This window comes from Homo sapiens, chromosome 11, assembly GCF_000001405.40.
Source record: "Homo sapiens chromosome 11, GRCh38.p14 Primary Assembly".
In the NCBI taxonomy this organism is placed as follows: domain Eukaryota; kingdom Metazoa; phylum Chordata; class Mammalia; order Primates; family Hominidae; genus Homo; species Homo sapiens.
Window position 1 is genome coordinate 7,086,744 of NC_000011.10, and position 20,984 is coordinate 7,107,727.

A 20,984-nucleotide genomic window follows, 5' to 3' on the forward strand; every position below is an offset into this window, starting at 1 on the left:
CTCTCCCACAAATATGGAAATAAAGGAAAATCTGGAGTTCCTTTAAAGGAAATTCCATGCATCTAGCTAGCCCTGAGGAATGAAGTTAAGGAACTTCATCAGATTCCTTAAATGAATAAGGAACTTGATAAGCAAGAAAGTAATAGGAACCTAAAACAATAACCATGGAAGTTAAGAGTCAGGAGATTTTTTGTTCCCCTATAGACACTAAATATAATGTCTTAACATATGTCCCTGAGTTGTCTTTCAGAAACCCAGATCCCACCAAACAGTTCCACAGACAGGTAGACCTCAGATAAGAGGGAACTGGGGACTAAACTCTGACAACCATTCTTTGTTCTAAATATCTTCCTGAGGGGCCTGGATGGAGTCACACTCAGGAGCCAAAGCTCATTCTTTTCTGCTGACTGCAAATTCTCTTCCTTCACCAACTGCAAATCAGAAAATCTTTGAATCTACCTATGACCTGTAAGCCCCCCACTTCAAGAGATATCTCTCCTTTGGGCCAATACCAATGTGTAACCTCCATGTATTGACTTATGATTTTGTCTGTAACTTCTGCTTTCCTGAAATTTACATTTTCCTTTAAAAACCTTTACCTGTAAGCCATCATGGAGGTCAGAATTTAAGAGTAGCTGCCTGGTCTTCCTTGCTTGGAGCCCTGCAAATAAATGCCCTCCTTTTTCCTGCTGCAAACCTCAGTGTGGCTATCTGGTCTTATTGTGCCAGGAGAGCATATCTCAGTTAGGTTTGATTAGTAAGTGGCACAAGTGAACCCTCTGGAGTGATGGAAATGTTATAGATTTTAATGTGGGTCATGGTTACATGGATATACACACGTAAAATTAAGCAGTAAACTTGATTTTATAAGTAAATTTATAAACTTAGCATTTTTAAGTTAGCATTCAATAAAAACATTAAGGGCAGTCATTCGAAAAAGTAGAAATAGAAGGCATAACTTCTTCCATAGTGGAGGAAAAAGAAACAAAGACAAATCACTTACTACAAGAAAAGGCAAGAAAGATGGAAAAAAGGAAGAAGGAAAGGTTTGGCTGATAGCAAAGATTTAGGAAGAAATTGCAAAAGTACCGAAAGTTATAAGCATCACACAAAATGGACTAAGGTAAAAAGGTTTTTACGAATAAGGAGGATCATTACATAAAAAAGGTATTCACCAGAAATACGTAGCAATTCTCAATTTTTATATATCTCACAATATAACCTTAAATTACATGAAGCAAAAACCAGACATAAAGACAAAGAGAAATTTACAAATCCACAATTATGGTAAATTTTAAGACAGTTCTAGTGTTTGGCAATTCTATCAAATAAAAAACAAGTTAGAAAAGGGAAGATTTAAATATCAGAAAATAAGAAAGAACTTTGTCCAACATTTAGAGAATACACTTTCTGCTCAGTATATATGGAACATTAATTACACCATATTAGGTCACAAAGCAAGTCTCAACGAAAAACAATGGATATCGTACAGAGCATATTAAAAAATAACCAACAGGCACATATGTTTGAAAATTTACAAACATACTTCTTTAATACATGGTCCAAAAAGGAAATAACAAAGATGAGAAAATCTTAGGAACTGAACAACAATGAAAACAACATATATTACAGCTCAAGGCATGATATTAACCAGTGCATAGAGAATAAGTTTTAACCTTAAATATAACAATTAGAAGAAACATTTTTTAAACTCTTAATGTGCTAAGTGTCTTATTTAAAAAATTAGAACAAAATAATATAAACAATAAATCCAATAAATGTAGAAAGAATAAAGACAATAGCACCAAATAAAATCAAAACAGAGGATAGACGAGGCTAAAAGCTGATTAGTTTAAAAAGATCAGTAAGGTAAAATTTAAACTTGTTAACTGTTATTACTCTATTTTTCAATAATTGAAAAATGATTTTTAACTTAATAATTTTAGTAATTTAAAAAATTCATACTATTTTTTTCTGTTTGAAAATGGTTTGGGTAGCTTAGGTTTGGGATCATTACAATTGTTCTCATTAAAACTAATAGAAAAAAATTTTTTTCCACCTAACGGCTTTTCCCTGAGCTTTCAGGAGGCCATTGAAGCCGTTAAGACCGGGTCAGGTGAACAGGAAGTTAAAGACTGAAAAGGAGACACAAAACTGCCGACTTTCCCGACGGCGAATTGGCCCTCTGGAAACAGCCGACCAATCACAGGCAGCAGGGGCGCGCCCTGCAGCGGGGCTCCGGCTGCGGTTCCGTGGACTCGGCGACTAGGCGCCGCCTGACCAGTAGGAGCCGCCCTCGACGAGCGAGCTCGAAGGCTGCGACTGGCGCCGCCTCACCGCCTCCCACCGCCACTGACCGACCGTTCGACCGGCAAACATGGTTGAAGCGGATCGCCCGGGGAAGCTGTTCATTGGGGGCCTCAACCTCGAAACCGACGAGAAAGCCCTCGAAGCCGAGTTTGGCAAGTATGGCCGCATCGTCGAGGTGCTCCTGATGAAAGACCGAGAAACCAACAAGTCGAGGGGCTTCGCGTTCGTCACCTTTGAAAGCCCCGCAGACGCCAAGGCCGCCGCCAGAGACATGAACGGCAAGTCCCTGGATGGTAAGGCCATCAAGGTGGCCCAGGCCACCAAACCGGCGTTCGAGAGCAGCCGGCGGGGCCCGCCGCCTCCCCGCAGCCGCGGTCGCCCGAGGTTCCTGCGCGGAACCCGCGGGGGTGGCGGCGGCCCGCGGCGTTCCCCATCCCGGGGCGGGCCCGATGATGACGGCGGCTACACGGCGGATTTCGACCTGCGGCCCTCCAGGGCCCCGATGCCCATGAAGCGTGGGCCGCCGCCGCGCAGGGTCGGCCCACCCCCCAAGAGGGCCGCGCCGTCGGGCCCGGCTCGCAGCAGCGGCGGTGGAATGCGCGGGAGGGCCCTGGCCGTGCGGGGGCGAGACGGCTACTCAGGCCCACCGCGCCGGGAGCCGCTGCCCCCGCGCCGCGACCCCTACCTGGGCCCGCGGGATGAGGGCTACTCGTCCAGAGACGGCTACTCGAGCCGAGACTACCGCGAACCCCGGGGTTTTGCCCCCTCGCCCGGAGAGTACACCCACCGCGATTACGGCCACTCCAGTGTCCGGGACGACTGTCCCTTGAGAGGCTACAGCGACCGAGACGGCTACGGAGGTCGCGACCGTGACTACGGGGATCATCTGAGCAGAGGCTCCCATCGAGAGCCCTTTGAGAGCTACGGAGAGCTGCGCGGCGCCGCCCCAGGACGGGGGACACCGCCATCTTACGGAGGAGGAGGCCGCTACGAGGAGTACCGGGGCTACTCACCCGATGCCTACAGCGGCGGCCGCGACAGTTACAGCAGCAGTTATGGCCGGAGCGACCGCTACTCGAGGGGCCGACACCGGGTGGGCAGACCAGATCGTGGGCTCTCTCTGTCCATGGAAAGGGGCTGCCCTCCCCAGCGTGATTCTTACAGCCGGTCAGGCTGCAGGGTGCCCAGGGGCGGAGGCCGTCTAGGAGGCCGCTTGGAGAGAGGAGGAGGCCGGAGCAGATACTAAGCAGGAACAGACTTGGGACCAAAAATCCCTTTTCAACGAAACTAACAAAAAGAAGAACCTGTTGTATGGTAACTACCCAAGGACTAGTACAAGGAAGAGTTGTTTTTACCTTTTAAGAATTTCCTGTTAAGATCGTCTCCATTTTTATGCTTTTGGGAGAAAAAACTTAAAATTCGTTTAGTTTAGTTTTGGAATTGTTAACGTTTCTTTCAACAAGCTCCTGTTAAAAGTATATGAACCTGAGTACTAGTCTTCTTACATTTACAAGTAGAAATTCGATTAATGGCTTCTTCCCTTGTAAATTTTCTTGATAAATGAGGCAAACAGTTCTAAGATCTTTGATAAACATCTGCTCACCTAAAATGGAAAAACGGATCATTCTGCTCATTTAAACCAACTAGATTTTGGGTGGAGAGTGGGAGGGATTGGTGTATGCTACTCTTAAGATTTCAGGGTATCTTTCAAACTGAATCTTTGTTTCCAGTATTAAAAAGCAAACAACCAGCAACAACAACAACAAAAGTGATTTAGATCAAATGTTTATGTAAAGAAAATTATTTTCACTCAGTAAATCTGAAAAGTAAATGGATAATGTTGGCCATGTTTTGCCTTTTTGCTTTTTCTTTGGGAATCTACAGGATCACCTGTCCCCTCACTCCCAAAAGTACTATCTATGTTTTGAACAACAGTGGAATACTATATCAAAGGTTTGGCCAACCAACCACAAAGCTACAAAACAAGCAAATCCCAAATCCTTCAATTGATAGCATTCATTTTCACTACCAACAAATTTATTAAGAAACAAGTAGAAAATAAATCAGTGGTCGACTTGGGGACCGTAATGGCTTCCATTCCTAACTCCAAGCTACTTGCCTTTGGCTCTAGAGCCAGCCACTGAGTCCTGTGGAGAGAATTGAGCTTCTTCCCTTAGGGGTGGAGGAATCAAAAGTGAGCAGCTTCAGAGCTCAGGAGCAAAGGTCAGAGAATCCCTGAAAGAGCTTGGCGTTTCAACCTCTGAGGATCTCAAACTGGCATGAAGGGGCTGGTTTTCCTGTCCACAAAAGGCGAGGGGTTGGATGGGTTGTTTCCTAGTTTTAAGGTGGGGAGAAGGGCTTCAACAGAAAAAGATTAGAGTCTTTCTCCAAGATCTGTCAAGAGGAACGTAAGTTTCCTCTTAAACATCTTTTCCATTCAGCACCTGTGGATTCCCCAATTTATCTGTGAGAAAGGTAATTGTACAGTCAAGGGACTGTAGCAACCAGAGAAAGAAGGATGGGGTTAAGGTTGATGACCCATGTTCAGTGTAATAATTGCTGGAGGAAACAGATAAGGGAACAACAGCAAAAAGTACTTAAAGGGATCTGAATGCAACACACATACACAACTTTTAACAACATGATTTTTTTTGACAATAATAAAGTAGGTGCATTAAAGGAGAGGACACACTAGTGGCTCAGAAGAGCAAATGCAAGAAATAGCTAAAAAATGATCCAGGAATTAATCTAACAAAAATATGTAAGATCTTTATGAAAAAATTAATCTTTATTAAAGGACATAAAAGAAGAACTATAAGAGATTGATATACTCATGGTTGGGAGGACTTCATTATCAACTATTCTCAACCTCATCAAATTAATTTGGAAAAACAATACAACTTCAAATGAAGTCACTTCATGATTTTTTTCACACAGCTCCCCTCCCCTCTTCCCGAATAACACCATTTATTTGTGTTGATCAATGATGGAATAATAAAAGATTTGGTAAACCAACCACAAAAAATCAATAGCTTCATTTCACCACCAACAAATTATTAAGAAACAAGTATTTAGAAAAGAGACACTAATGGGAGATATAGCTAATCTTCAAATTTGCATGGTGGAATAAAGAGCAAGAAAAGCCAAATCAATTCAGATGAACAGTTGTTAGGAAGGACTCATCCTACAGATACCAAGACTTATTACAAAGCTCTAGCAATTTAATTGTATGATGTCAGCAAACAAGGATAGACAGACCAATAGACCAAAACTGTGATCCTAGAAACAAGTCCACTTCTGTCACATTATGCAACAGAGGTAATTTTAAAAGTCATTGGTGGCAAAATGAAATTCTAAAAAAAAAAGACTATTTGTTAAAAGTGAGATTCCATAACAGCATACACAAAAATACATTCCAGATGGTTTGAAGATTTAAATGTGAAGAGGAAATTTTTAAACACTTAGAAGAAAGTGAAGAAATGTATACACCACGGTGGGGTTGAGAATTCCGTTTTAAGACAAAAAGTACAAACTTGGAAAATATTGATAAAATTTTCCATATTATTATTAAGGTATTTTAATGATAAAAGTGACTATTAACAAAGTGAAATTTCAAGCCATAATATTGGAAGAATATATTTACATTGAAATGACTTCCAAAAGAATGCTTAAAAATCAATAATAAGAAAAAAACAAGAAAAAAATGGACAAAGACTTACATTTTTGATAGATGTATAAATTGATACAATCATTTTGGAGATAATTTTAGCAATGCCTAGTAAAGTTGGAGGATGCATACTTTACGACCCAGAAATTCCATTTCAAGGAATGGACTTAAAGAAATTTGTGCATATTCACAAGGAGATACGCACAAGATTGGTCAGTAAAGCACCCTTTGAATGTTTACAACAAAAGTAGTCTACCTGGAGTGGATCAACTGAGATTTATGATGAAGCTCAGTGTAGAAGCTAATATGAATCAGCCAGGTCTACATGTATCATTATGATAAATATGAAAATATTAATATTTGGTGAAAAAGGCGAATCGCATAAATATAGGTATAGTAAACAAAATAGGATTTGAATGATAGCATGAAAAATCAGGATATTTAGAGTTAAGAGGAAAGGAAAAAGATGGGAGGAGGAGTGAACTTTAGCTGAATGTTTTATGTCTTTAAAAGTGATGGCTCTTAAGCAAAACTGACAAGTTTAACATCTTAAATTTCTGTGGTCTGTACATTGGCATCTCTTATTCCGTAAGTTCAAAATATTTTATAATACACATTTTAATATTAAAAAATAGAGCTTAGCATACCACCCAGCATGTAATTACTGAAAAATGTTTGTTATTAATATGCTGAAACTCAGCTGCAACATTCTTATCTTGGCAATGATTCTTTCTCCTGGCTTTGTTCTTTCATCAATATGGGTGATGCCTTATTCTATTTAAATGAGTTTTTAAAACCTTTCTATCTCGGACTGTGCCCACAGCTTGTTTACCATAATCTCAAGGGTAGAACCGGCAATACCTGAGAACCAGATCTTAGAGGAAGGTGCAGTTTTTCCTTTTGTTGTCTGTTTTGAAGTGTAATAGCGATGAAAAACGTTTTCCAATCAACAAGCTGTTTCTGAAGAGTAATCTCCTGAATATTGAAACTATTAATAAAAACAAAGTATTAACATTAGGAAAATAAAGACTCACTGGAGTTCAGTGAGTTAATTTTAGAGATTATAGCATACAAAGGTTGTAGATCTCTCATACATATATAATACAACAGTCTCAATATTTCTTTACTGGAAATATTTTTGTAGGAAAATATGCCAGAGGTCTAGTCAATTGAGAACTCTTTATAATCACTTTCATAATGATGAGAGAGAGAGAGAGCTTATCACATGTTTTCCAGAACTCACCCACTGAGTAAAATTTAAGGAATTTGTATCTCAGTGAAAACCTTTATATTTTCTATCATGTGCTTTTCTCCGATTACTCCTGAAACCCCATCTCCTCCATATTTCCTTCCAAAATGGTTTCAGGAGTATTCAAATTGTCCATGTGGCAACTGACAGCATTACCGAATCCCCACAAGATGAAGGCTGAACATCTTCTGTTTCTGATCACAACCGGAATTCTACTGTGGCTCCTGTGACTATCTTAAAGAGTGCTAGAGGTAGAATTTTTTTTTTCCCCCATAGGGCAATAGTTCCCTTTTCCCCTTGCCTTAGGCCAAGTGAGATAGAGAAGGCTTCTCTGCTAGTGTTCCTCCTAACTGGGGCCTCTAACATTTTTCAACCTTTATGTGGTTTCCATGCCCCCTCCCTTTTAGCCTTTATTTTAAAAGTGATGTAACTTTCCTTCTTTTCCTCCATATAAATGTTCTCTCTGGGGATAGTTACTGTGTTCTCATAAATGTTTTCCTCTTTAGAATGTGTTTAAGAACTCACCAAGCAAAATAAGGCTGTATTGCTCTTGCTGTGCACACATGATATCCAATGCTCATGGCAATTTCTTTCAGAACCTACATGTTCTATTTGTGGTGAAGTTTATTCTGAAGCTAATTACTCTTACAGTGTAGCACATCTAAGAATGATTTTAAAATGATTTTGATAAATATTTTGTGAGTGACATTGAATGAACATATCAAGCACAGAAAATTAGAGGAACGACATAGCAATGATGTCCTTGTTGAATGCATCTCACTATCATATTTATTAAAGTGCTCAAGGGGAATAAAAAATATGAGGACCTATTATGAAAATTTTAGAGAAAACAGTAGGAAGAAATAGTAAAGCTTTCTCAGGTTTGAAGGCTGCTTGTTATAGTAGAGAGAGAATCTTTTGATCATATGCAGAAGCTCTCATTCTGTTATTCATGTAGCTTGGACAACTTTCTTAAAACTTTAGACCTTCCGTTTTTTTCATGTGTGGTGATAATACAGTTTCATCATATTTATGGAAGTTTTAAATAAGATGACTCATATACAGCACCCAGCACAGTGCCTGGAATGCAGTGGGGTTCGTTAAGTGGTAGTATTACGGCATTCTGCAAAGCAGTAGCACAGACTTTCCTTTGGAATTTATCATTTATATTCCTAGTAAAATTGCTTCTATACTCAAAAGTCTTCAGAAAAAGTACACTTGAGAGTTTTAATTGTATTTACTCAAGCTGCACTCATCCAGCTTGAAATCTTGGAGATATATTTGACTCTTTATAGTCCCCATTAATTTTCTGCTGCCTCTTTCTTCTTCACCTCTTCAGTTGAGGGGACCAGAACTTCCACCATGGGCTCAGTGCCCCATTCCTAACCAGTCAGAAGTAAAGCAGGTTGATGTTATTATAAAGGCTTGATTCCTTCTTATCTGTTAGGGTTTAGAATTATTGCTCTCTGGCATAATTGGCTTAGACTCAATTTTGCCCCAGAAATAAAGTGCCTAGTGCAGTGCCTAGATTTTTAAAAAATGTAGCTGTTTTTATTGTTATTTACAGTTGACTCAGGCTTTGGGGCACCTAGAGAAATCTCTGAGTTGAAGAGTGTAGTAATTTAGAATAAGTAATATGTAATCTTGTAGACCTGAATTTAAATCCTGTGTCCACCATTCACCAACTGTGATCTTGGTCGGGTTACTTAATTACTCTTTGTGTTTTTTTCCCCTTACCTATAAAATAGGGTCAAGAATGCTCCCCTCATGAGATTGGTTGTCTATCTATCCATTTATTCATTGAATCTAATTTTTATTTATGTAGTACCCACCAAATGGCAAACGCTGTGCTAATATCACGCCAACTAAGGCAAACAGAAAAGCAGCACCAAGATCACAGTTAGTGAATGATCTTGGTCAGGTTGCTCTTTGTTTTTTTCCCTTATCTATAAAATAGGGACAAGAATGCAATCATACTTATTGGCCAGATTAATATTCATTAAGGACGATTCACAGAGACAGTGGAGTAGTACTTGCTAGTTGCCCAGATGCATTCTGTGGGAATACACAGAGATTTAGCATGACTGGACTTCAGCTTTGGGAGAGGAACTCCCACATTTGGGCTGTGGGGCTTTTGAGTTGCATAATATAGGAGATTCCAGCCCCTACCCTGGAATAATTAGGGGTTAGGATATAATAGCAATATGTCATGGCAGAAATAGCTATAACCCTGTCACTTCAGTGCTCGTGGTTGTGGATTTGCAGGAGTTGAGGACTTGATAATAACATCAGTCTGCCCTAGACAGGTTGACAATGGGTCACTGAACCTTGCAGTCAACAGCTGGAGAAGGGAGAGACAGTAGAATATAAATGGGGCTGAGAAGAACATGTTTTTTGTGAATAATACTTTTATCTAAGGTGGTAAAGGGCTGGAGTCAAAGTCTTGTAATTGAAGCTGTATGGCAGCAAAGCAAACTAGAGGCAGGACTTGCTACATCAGCATTCAAGATTGAGAATGTACTAACATTATAGCTGCAGGGGTAACTGTGGCCCAGGCTGTGCAGCTGACCATGATTGACTGCATTAAAAATGGGCTAAAAGCAGCTTTCAGTGAAATTTGCAGAAGGCCAATCCTTTCCAGGATGCCAATCTACTGAGGATTAGTTTTGGATAAATTAATCCTTGTCTCTTAGCTAAGCAATGGAGACATATTGGTGAGCCAAAGTAGACATTGTTAATCCTCACATGGAACAGTGTTCAAAAGGTAAGATAGACTGGTTAAATTGTCATACAAAAAGCAACATTTTAACCATGACAAGCACTATGAAAGAGAGATACATAGCACTATGAGACATGTTTTTAAAAGCTTGATGTAGTATAACAGGGATCCCCAACTCCTGGGCCAGGAACTGGGCTGCACAGCAGGAGCTGAGTGGTGGACGAGCTGGCAAAGCTTCATCTGTATTTACAGCCGCTCCCATCACTTGCATTACCACCTGAGTTCCACCTCCTTTGAGATCAGCAGCAGCATTAGATTCTTACAGGAGCATGAGCCCTATTGTGAACTGCACATGTGAGGGACCTAGGTTGCATGCTCCTTATGAGAGTCTAATAGTTGATGATCTGTCACTGTCTCCCATCACCTCCAGTTGGGACCATCTAGTTGCAGGAAAACAAGCCCAGGGCCTCCACTGATTCTACTTATGGTGAGTTGTATAATTAATTCATTATGTATTACAATGTAATAATAGTAGAAATAAAGTGCACAATAAATGTAATGTGCTTGAATCATCATAAAACTATCTCCCCCGACTCCCTGGTCCCTGGAAAAGTTGTCTTCCACAAAATTGGTCCCTGGTGCCAAAAAGCTTGGGGACCACTATATATAGGACACCTAGAGAATGCATCCTTAAGTGATAATTGAACTAAGATGTGAAGGATGTATAAGAGCTAAATTTCTGTGAAAATTAAATGAGATAATATATAAAAAAGCATGTAGCACATAGTAACCCTCAGTGAATGAAGACTGATTTTCTTATACCTATTCTCTTTTGACATCAAGGTAGTTTTCGCTGGGAGTTTGTGCTATATAAATAAAGGTGAAGGAATGCAGGTGAATTACTAACAGACACTAATTTAAGAGAGCATATCTTGAGGTTGATTACCAGGAGAGGGGAAATGAGAAACACAGAATGTGAATCAACAAATAGGAGAGGCAAATAATGTGAGATCAGTTCAAGGTCAAACTAGTAAGAAAAAAACAGATGAAATGAAGAAGTTGGGAAAAAGACAAGTATTGGCTGGATTAATGCCCTGGGAGTAACTACTGATACCCCCTTTAAAGTCTCAGAGCCAAGTTCACAGATAAAGTAGCTTTTAAAGGTATCAGGGTTGTTTGAATCTGAGATGAATCAGACCCTCTTTATCCTTCAGGCACTCATAGTTTAGTGTGGGTAACATTTTTCTGCATAAACTACCTAAAATGCAAAACAGAGCAAGAAATGTTATCAAATAGGCATGGGCAATGTGCTAAGCAAACCAATTAATTCTGATGAGGAGGCTTTCCAGAGGTGGTAAAATTTCAAGATATTCCATGAAACAGGGAAACTCCTCTTTCATTTGTGTATGTTATCCACTTTAAATACAGCTAGGTTCATTTGTTTCTATTTGTAATTAATTTTAGGAGTGTCTTCATCTTGTTGATTTTATATCCCATCTCTGCTAATTTACATGGAAACTATTGAAACTTCTGAAGATGGGAGTGATTATCTGAGCTGCAGTTTGGCACCTGAGAGATGGACCGAAGAGAAAGGTTGGAGGGAGAGAGCCATCTAAACATACTAAGGCTTGCATTTTTATTTGTATTTAAAATTGCCCTAGTTGATTAAGAAGCTGAGTGGAGGAAAGCATGCTTCCTGACACGGAACAGAAGTTACCATATGATAACAGTCCACTAGATGTCACTAAAAGCTCAAGGATTGGTGCTTTATGTTTCCTTTCTTGAACCTGCCCCTTGGAACTTGAACTCTAGGGTCTGTGGATTTAGGCTAGGTGCTGCTTATGCTTTTAACTGGAAATCCCCATATAATCAGGTACTGCAAGTTATGTACAGTTGAAAAGACCAGAAGTATATCCAAGTATATATAAGCATTCAAATTGGTGGGAAAAGTAATTCAATAACTGATGCTGATTTAATTGGCTAACCACTTTGGAAAAAAGTCCTAATGATTTTGATCATTATACACCAAAATGAGTTCTAGGTGGATTAACTTTTTTTAGGTAGGATTTTAACTTTTTTTTTTAAGTGTGGTAAAATACATATGACAAAATTTACCATCTTAGCCATTTTTAAGTGTACAAGTTTAGTGGCATTAAGTACATTCACATGGTTATGCTGCCATCACCACCATCCATCCATAGAACTCTTTTCAACTTGCAAAATTGTGGATTAATTTTTTTTTTTTAATTGAGATGGAGTTTCGCTCTGTCACCCAGGCTGGAGTGCAGTGGTGTGATCTCGGCTCACTGCAACCTCCGCCTCCCGGGTTCAACCAATTCTCCTGCCTCAGTCTCCTGAGTAGCTGGGATTATAGGCATGTGCCACCACACCTGGCTAATTTTTGTATTTTTAGCAGGGACGGGGTTTATCATGTTGGTCAGGCTGGTGATCCGCCTGCCTCGGCCTCCCAAAGTGCTGGAGATTACAGGAGTGAGCCACTGTGCTCAGCCAGATTAACTTTTTAAATGTAAAAATAGAAACAACAAAAAGTTTAGAAGAAGATCTATTTGTGTTTTTATATAATTGAGTTTTGGAAAATTTTTCTAAGCCCAACAGTAAAGGAGGTATCAAAAGTTATATATTGATAAATTTTATTACCTAAAGATTAAAATTTTGTTTACATCTAAATGCCTCAAAGTTTATTCATTTATTATATATATGAATAATTTATCATATATTCATTATGATGTGGTTATAGGACTTGCTGGTTTTCAGCTATGGAGCTGCTGTCAGTTCCTAGGGACCTCCCACAATTCCTTGCCATGTGCTCCTCTCACATGTCCTTTTACAATATGGCAGTTTATTTCTTTTATGCCATAGCATAAAAGCTCAGATCTCTCTTTTATGATATCAATCTAAGTAGCTCAGTTCTCACCCTAAAGTTTTAGGAAAAATTAATAAATAAGGAGTATTCACTCTCTAATAAGCATGCATATTATAGAAAAATATGTAATGAGAAGCAGAAATACATTAAAAATTAGTGTATAGATTACTTAACAAAGATAAAGCCCACACAACATCTAGTTTCATCCAATATGTTAATACCTTTTTATAACTCCCTCTTTGTACTTCCTCCATGGAAAAGATACATGGGTAGGACATGAGGACATCCTGGATATTTGGTATGGCGTTCTTTGCTGGGTACTGACTATTTTTAATTATTTTGACCATTAGCTTCCTTACAGTTAGCATATTATCACTTAACTTGACAGTTGTTTTGAATTAAGAAATCTCACAATCAATCTTGAATTGGAACTGATATGTGTGCTTTTAAAAACAAAATCTATAGTGTTGTTTGGTATCAAATCCAGAGTTAAGCTCAGCTTTGTCAGAATGTTGGGGCATACTTCCTTCACAATGGCTGCTTTCTAGTGGCAGTTGTCAGGGTATAACTTGAGGTTAAACCATTCTCAGTGTTCCATTCCCTGGTTTAATCATGCCCTTACCTGAATCCTTCAACTACCTCACAGGCAGCAATTCATTGACTCCTATCTGGTATGAGATTGTAAACTGAAAGATGTCCTGATTTCCCCGTTACAAGATGATATTGTCTTCTGTTTTATCCATCAGCTATCTTTATCAGTAACACCAGAAAATTATATATAATATGATTTTATCTCTAGTCTCAAATTTGTGCTGATGAACTTAATCATCATAATGTTCTTATTTTCATTTGTGTTTTGTCTTATTATGTGGCCACAAATACATAGACAGTGTATGTGGTTTTAGCCTTCCATTGTATCTGGAAATTTAATTGTTATAAGCCTTTTCTTGTAGACCTTATTCTGTATTTGTATGAGATTCTAAACCTTCTACAGTGGCTACAATTTTGTTGGTCCCTATCAAAATCAGAGATCTGGGAAAACAAACCATAATGTTTATATTTTCCATTAGGGGAAACGTTCTTGGGAAAGTAATCACTCTGGGTATTTAGACAGCCTGGAAATGCAGTTCCACTTTTCAGATGCTTACTGGTTTCCACGAAAATGTTCATTCCATGAAAATGTTCCGTTGAGGCGGAATGAAGGGGCTCGTGACAGGGAACCACTGTGTGCTTGGCGTTGTCCTCAGCCTTCTGTTCACTCATTTAGTATAGACCAGTATATACTACTGGCTGAGCATGGTTCTGAAGGGTAGAAATGCAAATATGAGACACTAATTATGATCTCTATCTTTGAGGATTTATTTCTCAGCCTTGTGAGGAAGAAAAACACTAACTAGAAATTGCAATCCAACTCACATATGAGTACAAATGAAAACACTTCATCCTGGAAGCAGAAAATACGCTTCTGCTTTGGAATAGAAGCAAAATTGAAGACTAGAAGTGAACCTGAAAAGAAGGCAGAAGTGAAGTAGGATCTGCATAAACTGTTACATGTTTTCTCTTTTATGTCCAGTTAAATATTTTTGACAGTAGAACTGCAAAAATACTTAACATTGAATTGAAGAATTTCTTTGTAGAAGTGTTGAAGAAACACCATTTCTCTGATTTAAGGAAGTCATAAATATATTTGAATGTTTGATATTCTAAAATTGTTTAGTAATATTAGTTTTCACTAAATGGATTTTATGACCTCAGTCATAACACTGCTTTATTTACTTTTATTATTTCCAGTGGAGTAAACACTCCACATATAACTAATATATTTGGAATAACTCCTCTGTCCTTCATTTGTTTTAGGAAGGATTAGAACAAAGCTAGATTTAGGATCCTCGCGGGAGGGGTGTGCTTTACTGAAACACTCATTTGATTTTATAAATGTTTCTAGATATCCAGGAGAGATGGAATTAACCAGTCCTCAGCTCCTTAAGGATGTAAGTGCTGGCTAACCAGAACAATAACTATCAAATTAAAAATAGCGGTGAAGCGGTACTCAATCTAGGGCTAATCCAGTACTATGGCAACAAGCACTATTCTTGGCCCTAGTGAGGGACAGGTACTGCTCCTCCTAATCATTTTGGGTTGCTCTTTCCCCAGTCTCAGATAGCTTCCTCACACATTTGCATGAATCAATACTTGGCTAAATATTCTAGGTGGACTCTCTGGAGATGTCTGGAGTTTTTTCTTAGTGCAGCCTCTTTTCTCTGTTACTCTGGCCTGCAAATGGTAGCACCTTTTTTCCCTTCTGAACTGTTGTCTTTCTATCTTCAACTAAGGTTATCAGCCAAGCTCTGCCTGAGTTCTTCCTCCCTGATTTCCATAAAAATGGATATTTTAATGGAAAAATATAATTCATAGAAATTGACTCAAGGATAAGTAGGATATATAAATAGGGTAATAACCATGTAAGCAATTTTAAATCTGTGAAAGAATTCTCTGAAAGCATGCTTACTTTGGTTAGATTGCAAATAAGTAAAATAAAATAATTTCCCTGTTATATAAATCACTGAAGTATATTTTAAAAGATAGACAATATTTAAGTTCATTTTACAAGCCAGTGTAAACTTGCTATCAAAATCTGGCAGATATGAAAACATGAAAATTATAAACACTTTTTACCCATGAATATAGGTAAGAAAATATTCTAAATAATAGTAAGAGTTGGATCACACAAAGTATTGAAGAATATCATGAACAAATAGGAATGTGGTTTTGTAAAACTTATTAATAATTTATATCGGTAGACCAAAAAAAAGTCACATGAGCATCTCCATAGACGCCCATGAAATATTAATAAAAATTCAATATCCGCTTTTGATACAAACTCTTGGTAAACCAAATGTAGAACATGGCAAAATGTATCAATCTCAAGGTATCAGCTGACAGAAATTTTAATAGTAAGAAGGAATCTGAAGTAAGAAATGAGAAATTTATGATTGATCTAGAATGTCAGAAAATGAAAAAAAGCAAGTTACAAAGGGAAGTAAAGGAATAAATAATATTAAAATATAATTATTTGCTGACAACATGATTATTTACATTTAACTTTTTAAAATGAGGAAGGACCTATGCTTTCAATGTCAAGAATGAAAGTATTTTTGCCCCCCACCCCAATTTTTAAAAAGAAAACTATAATGTATCAGTTTCCTAGTTTCTTCCCATCTCCCTTTGGCAGTTTTGAATGAAATCATTGGGATTTTAAACTTTTACAATTTATGTTATAGATGCTCTGCCAAAAATAGTGACAAATTACATTCAATTCCATTTGGATATTTTAAAATTACATAGATTAAATTTTGTTTTCAATACTTACTACCAATTTTTTTTTAATACCATCTTCCCTTTTATTAAGTTAAAATGTTAACAATTGATTTTGTGGTTGGCTGAAATAGAACCAGTAATAACTTTTAAGAATGGAAATGTGGTTGGTAGATTTTCTGAGTTCTTATATGGTTGGTAATATCTTTCAGCAGATTTTCTAATGAATGTGTGCTTGATCAAATAGAAAACGTTCCTACTGTATGTCTGTCGTTTTTAAGATTCTTTAGCCAATGCTAAACTGGCATTTTTTGTTATGGTGCAGAAATCTGAGGCCAGCAGGACACTATTTTTCCTTTCACCTTTTCTTTCTAGTGAGAATTTATTTTTTTAATCCTTAACATTCACAACTTTTATGAAGCTATGCCCTCTTAAAAAATTATATTTGCTTTTAGTTGAAGTTAGACATTTCATCCCCCAAATTCAAGCAGTCTTTTAGTTTCAGGCATGTTTGTCTTTTATTTCATTGATTTTGCTTTTCTTCTGTTGGTTTCTCTTTTGGGGATGGTCTTTACATGCATATTCCATGTTCTTGATTTGTCCTCCATGTTGCTAACATTTTCTCTCCTCAGTTAAGTCTATATTGGGTGATACTGAGTTATTTCTCTTGAGGTTTAGTTTTTCATTAAAATGTATCTATATCTAGTTCATTATCTCAATTTTTTCTCCTGACAAATCTTCTGTTTGCTGACTCCATTAAAATAATTCAGCAACTATGCTTTTCAAGTCTTGAAAAAATATTTCCTGATCTCATATTGTGCTTTTTTCATAATTTTCTATTTTAGTTTCATAAATCGTAATGTCCCCCCCCAATCTTTTTGAATGTGTGAATTATAGATTTTTCGATGATTTTTTCTTTCTAGGAAACAAGTCAGTTTACTTGGGGTGGCAGAGGGTGAAACATTGCTGGGATTTGTCAGCTTGATCCCTCTTTTTCAGTGCTGAGCATTTTTACAGTCCAATTATCTTTTTTATTTTTCATTATGTCTACGGAGGAGTGTCTCTGTTATATCAGTAGGAAATCAAGGTGGCTTTTTCAGAGACTGTGTTGGTTCCTTTCAAATATTTGAAACACTGACAGAAGGAGACATTTTAGATTTCCTCAAAGTTTACATTGCCATTTTAGAAATCTAGAAGCCTATAAGGAAAATTAAAACTGTAGAACTAAGAGCAGCCAACACAGAGAGCATTCTCTTGGTGTTCTAAAGCTAGGATTCCACAATTATTATGACAATTCAAGTTAGAGAGGTGTGTGTCCTCATCTTTCCTCCTTTTCTTGCTCCTTCTCCACTGTCGTCTTCATCCTAGTAGTAGTATTTATTTTGTCATAGTTTTCTATTTAATGTTTATTGAAAAATGTATCATACCTGCATAAAAGAGCATAAAATTATTTATACACTTTACAGTAAAGCTGTAAAGTGAACACATGTGTAATCACTAACTAGATCAAGATAGCACACAAGGAGTCCTTCATTGCCTCTCCCCAAATGTAACTCCTCTCCCTCCTGGAAGTAACCACTTTCCTGACTTTTGTAAAATCATGTTCTTGTTTTTCTTTATATTTTAATAACCTAGTTATATTCTTAAGTAATATGATATAGTTTTGCTGAATTTTATAATTTTATGTGAAAGGAATTATATATGCTTTTTTGCCTTTTCTTTACATTAGTACTTTATTTGGGATATTTATTTTTTTGAATGAGGTTATAATTTGTTAATTTTTGTTGCTATCTGGTATTCCATTGCATGACTATAACACAATTTATTCTTCCATTTTATGGTTGTACATGTCAGCATCACTTCTAGTTTGGGACAGTTATAAACAATGCCACTCTCAACATCCTTGTATTTCTGTACCTAGAGTGATTGCTAAGCAATGCCAAACTGCTTTCCAAATGTGATAATTTCAATATATCATTCACCTAGCTGTAAATATCTATTGTTTCACCCCCTTTCCAACCCTCGATATCATCACATATTCACTTACCAATCCATTTAGTGGATGTTCAGCTCAGTGTCAAAGCAATCCCCAGGCTGTGTGAGTAGGTGAGGCAGTTTATGTCTGTCTTGCTCTTACCCTGAGAGCACAGCTCTTTGGATTCCCAGCTCTATGAGAGGAAGGTCTCCTTTTAGAATCCTCATCAATGTGTACCGTGGATTTGGTCTTCTGTCTTCCGAGCCACAACAAGCCTTGGAAACTACTGTTAAAGTTCAGAGGACTTGGCAAATGCTGTCCTATCAAAAGTTCCTTCGCTTACATATTGACCTGATAACTCCTTACTATTTTGGCATATCTTTGATGCATTTAACATTTTTTTGTTATGTCTTTTGTTCAGTTTTTCGAGTTTTTATGAAATGTCTCCAGAGCAGATTGGGTGGGTCCAAATATTAAGTCCACACTTTTTGGACAATGTAATTTCCCGTAAGTTAATTGATTGATTGATTGATTGATTGGTGTATAAGCATCCCCCTTTCTCTGCAATCTCACCAGCATCTGTTATTTTTTGACTTTTAAAAAAATTTAGTTCAATAGTTTTTGGGGGAGCAGGTGGTTTCTGGTTACATAGATGAGTTCTTTAGTGATTTTTGAGATTTTGGTGTACCTGTCACACAAGCAGGGTACACTGTACCCAATGTGTAGTCTTTTGTCACTCACCCCCATCCACCCTTCCCCCTGAGGCCCCAAAGTTCCTTATATTATTCTTATGCTTTTGTGTCCTCATAGCTTAGTCCCACTGATAAGTAAGAACGTACCACATTTTGTTTTCCATTTTTGAGTTATTTAGGTTGGTACAAAGATAATTGCGGTTTTTGCCTCAATTTCAATGGCAAAACCACAATTGCTTTTCACCAACCTAATACTTCACTTAGAATAATGGTCTCCAACTCCATCTAGGTTACTGCAAAAGCAGTTATACACACACACACACACACACACACACACACACACACACACAGATATACCACATTTTCTTCATTTATTTGATAGATGGACATTTAGGCTGGTTCCATATTTTTGCAATTGCAAATTTTGCTGCTATAAACATGCATGTGCATGTTTATATAATGTGTCTTTTTCATATAATGACTTCTTTTCCTCTGGGTAGATACCCAGTAGCGGGATTGCTGGATTGAATGGTAGTTCTACTTTTAGTTCTTTAAGGAATCTCCATACTGTTTTCCGCAGTGGTTGGTTATACTACTTTACATTCCCACCAGCAGTGTAAAAGTGTTCCGTTTTCACCACATCCATGCCAACATCTATTTTTTTTTTTAATTATGGCCATTTTTGCAGGTGTAATGTTGTATCTCACTGTGGTTTTAATTTGCATTTCTCTGCAAATTCGTGATGTTGAGCATTTTTTCATATGTTTGTTGGCCATTTGTATATCTCCTTTTGAGAATTGTCTATTCATATTCTTTGACCACTTTTTGAGATTGTTGTTTTTCTTGCTGATTTGTTTGAGTTCCTTGTAGATTCTGGATATTAATCCTTTGTCAGATGCATAGTTTGTGAAGATTTTCTCCCACTCTGTGGGTTGTCTGTTCACTCTACTGATTATCTATTTTTCTGTGCAGAAGCTTTTTAGTTTAATTAGGTCCCATGTATTTATTTTTGTTTTGTTACATTTACTTTTGGGTTCTTGGCCATATCTCTTTGCCTAAGCCAATGTACAGAGAGTTTTTCCCATGCTATCTTCTAGAATTTTTATGGTTTCAGGTCTTAGATTTAGGTCTTTGATCCATCTTGAGTTGATTTTTATGTAAGCTGAGAGATGAGGATCCAGTTTCATTCTTCTACATGTGGCTTGCCAATTATCCCAATATCATTTGTTGAATTAGGTATCCTTTCCTCACTTAATGTTTTTTGTTTGCTTTGTTGAAGGTCAGTTAGCTATAAGTGTTTGACTTTATTTCCGGATTCTCTATTCTGTTCCATTGGTCTACATGCCTATTTTTTTAAATTTTTTTTTATTATACTTTAAGTTCTAGGGTACATGTGCACAACGTGCAGGTTTGTTACATATGTATATATGTGCCATTTTGGTGTGCTGCACCCATTAACTTGTCATTTACATTAGGTATATCTCCTAATGCTATCCCTCCCCCTTCCCCCCACCTCACGACAGGCCCTGGTGTGTGATGTTCCTTATCCTGTGTCCAAGTGTTTTCATTGTTCACTTTTACACTGTTGGTGGGACTGTAAACTAGTTCAACCATTGTGGAAGACAGTGTGGTGATTCCTTAAGGATCTAGAACTAGAAATACCATTTGACCCAGCCATCCCATTACTGGGTATATACCCAAAGGATTATAAATCATGCTATAAAGACACATGCACACGTATGTTTATTGTGGCACTATTCACAATAGCAAAGACTTGGAGCCAACCCAAATGTCCATCAATGATACATGCCTGTTTTTATACCAGTACCATGCTGTTTGGTTAACTATAGCCTTGTAGTTTCAAGTCGAGTAATGTGATGCCTCCAGATTTGTTCTTTTTGCTTAGTCTTGATTGACTAAGTGGGCTCTTTTTAGGTTCCATATGAATTTTAGGATTTTTTTTTCTAGTTCTGTGAAGAATGATGATGGTATTTGGATGGGAGTTGCATTGAATTGGTAGCTTGCTTTTGGCGATATGATCATTTTCACAATATTGATTCTACCCATCTATGAGCATGGGATGTACGTGTTACCATTTGTATAGTCAGTGATTTCTTTAATCAGTGTTTTGTAGTTTTTCTTATAGAGATCTGTCACCTCGTTTGTTAGGTAT

At 37.7% G+C, this 20,984-nt stretch overlaps 2 protein-coding genes across 2 annotated transcripts in view; both read left to right on the forward strand.

The window, feature by feature from the left end:
• Positions 1-4,157, forward strand: part of NLRP14 (NLR family pyrin domain containing 14) — a 70,455-nt gene extending 66,298 nt beyond the window's left edge. Inside the window, exon 11 of the mRNA XM_011520044.2 lies at positions 2,086-4,157. Within this exon, the coding sequence (XP_011518346.1) occupies positions 2,086-2,269 (184 nt within the window). The 3' untranslated portion in view covers positions 2,270-4,157. The remainder of the gene's footprint in view (positions 1-2,085) is intronic.
• Positions 2,255-4,405, forward strand: RBMXL2 (RBMX like 2). Its single transcript, NM_014469.5, has one exon. The coding sequence runs from the start codon at positions 2,378-2,380 to the stop codon at positions 3,554-3,556; it is 1,179 nt and encodes a 392-aa protein (NP_055284.3). The 5' UTR covers positions 2,255-2,377; the 3' UTR covers positions 3,557-4,405.
• Positions 4,406-20,984: the final 16,579 nt, after the last annotated feature.

Bases quoted from the DNA above. Each gene is read 5' to 3' on its own strand.
- RBMXL2 (NM_014469.5), top strand. From the start codon at position 2,378: ATGGTTGAAGCGGATCGCCCGGGGAAGCTGTTCATTGGGGGCCTCAAC.